Source organism: Homo sapiens, chromosome 17, assembly GCF_000001405.40.
Source record: "Homo sapiens chromosome 17, GRCh38.p14 Primary Assembly".
Classification (NCBI taxonomy): domain Eukaryota; kingdom Metazoa; phylum Chordata; class Mammalia; order Primates; family Hominidae; genus Homo; species Homo sapiens.
Window position 1 is genome coordinate 27,217,097 of NC_000017.11, and position 2,630 is coordinate 27,219,726.

At 43.8% G+C, this 2,630-nt stretch overlaps 2 annotated features.

The window, feature by feature from the left end:
* Window positions 585-934: an enhancer, noted in NCBI's record as "active region_11889". NCBI's record gives its function as "activates an Ori minimal core promoter by ATAC-STARR-seq in GM12878 lymphoblastoid cells {active_cell/tissue: GM12878}" and the evidence as "EXISTENCE:reporter gene assay evidence [ECO:0000049][PMID:35858748]".
* Window positions 2,023-2,072: an enhancer, noted in NCBI's record as "active region_11890". NCBI's record gives its function as "activates an Ori minimal core promoter by ATAC-STARR-seq in GM12878 lymphoblastoid cells {active_cell/tissue: GM12878}" and the evidence as "EXISTENCE:reporter gene assay evidence [ECO:0000049][PMID:35858748]".

The window sequence follows — 2,630 nt, forward strand, 5'->3', positions numbered from 1 at the left end:
CAAGCCTGTCTCACTATGGAGCCTGTATTCTCATGCACTGTGTATAGTGCATTCCAGACTGTATTCATCTTGGTATCCCTATAGCACCTGAAAATCAGCATTATACTATGCCTTCCAAACATGTGTATATAGTCAATTATTGGTTGCAAGCAGCAGAAAACAACTCTGATTATTGTAAACAGAAAAGAGATTACAAGGCCACTTTGAATTTATAAGAAGCAACAAACAGATTATAAAAATGAAGATAGGGACAGGGTGTACAGTATAGTGACTATGACTAATAAAAATGTACTGTATATTTTAAATTTGCCTTCACGCACATGCACACATGTACACACAGAAAGGTAACTATATGGGCAAAAAAAAAAAAAAAAAAAAAAGATACAGAGGCCCAAGAAGCAGAATACAAGATAATCATCTTTGAGCAGGAACAATCCTACCAGGATGCCTTGGCCAAATCCTTCCAGTGCACATGGATTCTAACTTTCCATTCATCTTTGCCTCACACCACACATTTATTCCAAATATAAAGTCTAGGGTGACAGCATCTGATTGGCCAGCCCTTCATTTGCCTTTGTGCTAACTAAAAGCGTGTTGGGGAAGAGGTTAGTCTCTAGACCTTCCTACTTCCCTAGAGGGAGGCGTAGCTTGCTGTGACTGACGCAGTGGGAATTTCCCCCAGATAGAGGGAAGGCATAGATGCTAGGCTGCCACAAACATTGACAAATGTCCACCACAACAGGTGTGCATTAACTCAGGCCTACCACAATCCCTGAATTGCAATTTATGTCACATTTTAGTCCCCTTGCTGATACTAGAGAAACCCCAGAAGCATGATTACAAGTCATCATTTAGCATAGTTTAAGCACGTGATTCATTTTCATTTTTATTTTAGAAGGTGGCATTTTCTGACCCACCTTGGAGATGCGCCCTTTGAGGAGCCTGCAGCCTCCTGCACCTGAAGAAAGTGGCCCACTCATGAAAACGCCCAGGCTCCCAGTTGGGGAGAACCATCTCCACCAGAGGGGGATCCAGATCCAGTGGAGAAGAATTTTTTTTATTGTTTTTAGATAAACTGTCTTCAAATAGTGCAGCACGGGCACTTCCTGCCTCGATGGAAATTCAGCACACTTCCTGCTGCTCACCTGCCCCATCTGTGTTTATCTTCTGCCTCAATCATGTGAAGGCCAAATGGGTGGCATGAGTGCAACTGGGCCAGCTGTGGCTGGGGGCAGCAACAGCTCCATGTTTTGAGGCCAGATGGAGGCTGCTTTGGTCTAGGAGGTGGAGGGGAGCCAGTGGCTGCTTCAGGCCTCCCTGTGTGGAGTGCTTGGAGCTGGAAGTAGAAGCAGGGCCCAACTGGGGGCTCCATTGGATGAAGCACACCATCCCATCCAAAAGCCTGCTCCCAATGTCCTCACTGAGCTCTCTTTGTTTCTTTCTGTTTCTTCTATATGTATACATATCAAATATGTGTGTGTGTGTGTGTCTATGTATGTGTGTGAAACAGAAAGAAGCAAAGAGTCCTTTGCACTTTATCAAAGGTACTCTACTAATTCCTTTACACTTTTATCAAAGATATTCACTTGTCAGGGACACTAGAGCAGTGTCCAGGCTGCATGTAACATCAGCTGGGAAGCTTTTATAAATTAAAACAACTATAAAATAGTTGCAGGCATTTTCAAGTTTTTATTAAGCCTCATAAAAACTTGAAAATGTCTATAAGACACCTACACTACAGGTCTCCATGGCTCTCTGCAAAACATGACCAAGCTCAAAAAGACACACAAGGTTAGAAGACACCACAGATTTGGCAACAGCCCATGATCCTTGGGTTTATCTCCCCTCAGAGTGGCTCCTTAAAGTGACACTGGCACTTTTCTGAAACGCTTTCCTGCAGGTTCTTGAGCACACTCTAATGGAAGCTCTCTCTCAGAATTATGCACATGAGAGTGTCATTGTAGAATGCTTTTTAGCATATCCACCACAGGTATAATGAAACACAGGCTACATACTGATAAAATGGAAGGACCAAATGAAACAAGCCTATTCATACACATTTCTGTGTCTCTTTGCATCTGTGGTTTTCAGACTTTAGTGTGCATCAGAATCGCCCAGAGGACTTGTTAAAACACAGATTGCTAGGCCGCACCCCAGAGTTTCAGATTCAGTAGGTCTGAGATGAGGCCCCAGGAGCTGCAGCAAGTAAAACGGGCAGCAACAGCTACTGCGTCACCTGAGGCCCATTTGCGACAGTCTCTGCTCTGTGTGATAAAAAAGATCACATTTTCCTTTCCTCTAGGTCTGATGTGAGGCTGGCTTGTTTTACATTGGGCATCTCTGAGAAAGTATCAGGAAAAAGGCAGACAAAGCAGAAGTGCCTGAAATGATATTTATTAATTTGGATTCTGAGTAGCTAAATTGAAACTTGATTGTGCCCTTACCCCTAGCTCCTCCTGGGCCTGGAGCAAGGACAGGCTACGTCTGAGGCAGCAGGCATTGGAAGGAGTAGGATCGGGTTAGGGCTAGTTTTAGGGCAAATGAGGTACCTCCATCCTTACCGTCCAGCTATGTAGTAACAAATTAGCCTCTTCTAGATGGTCTGAAGTCTATTATATAAAGTTTGGCTT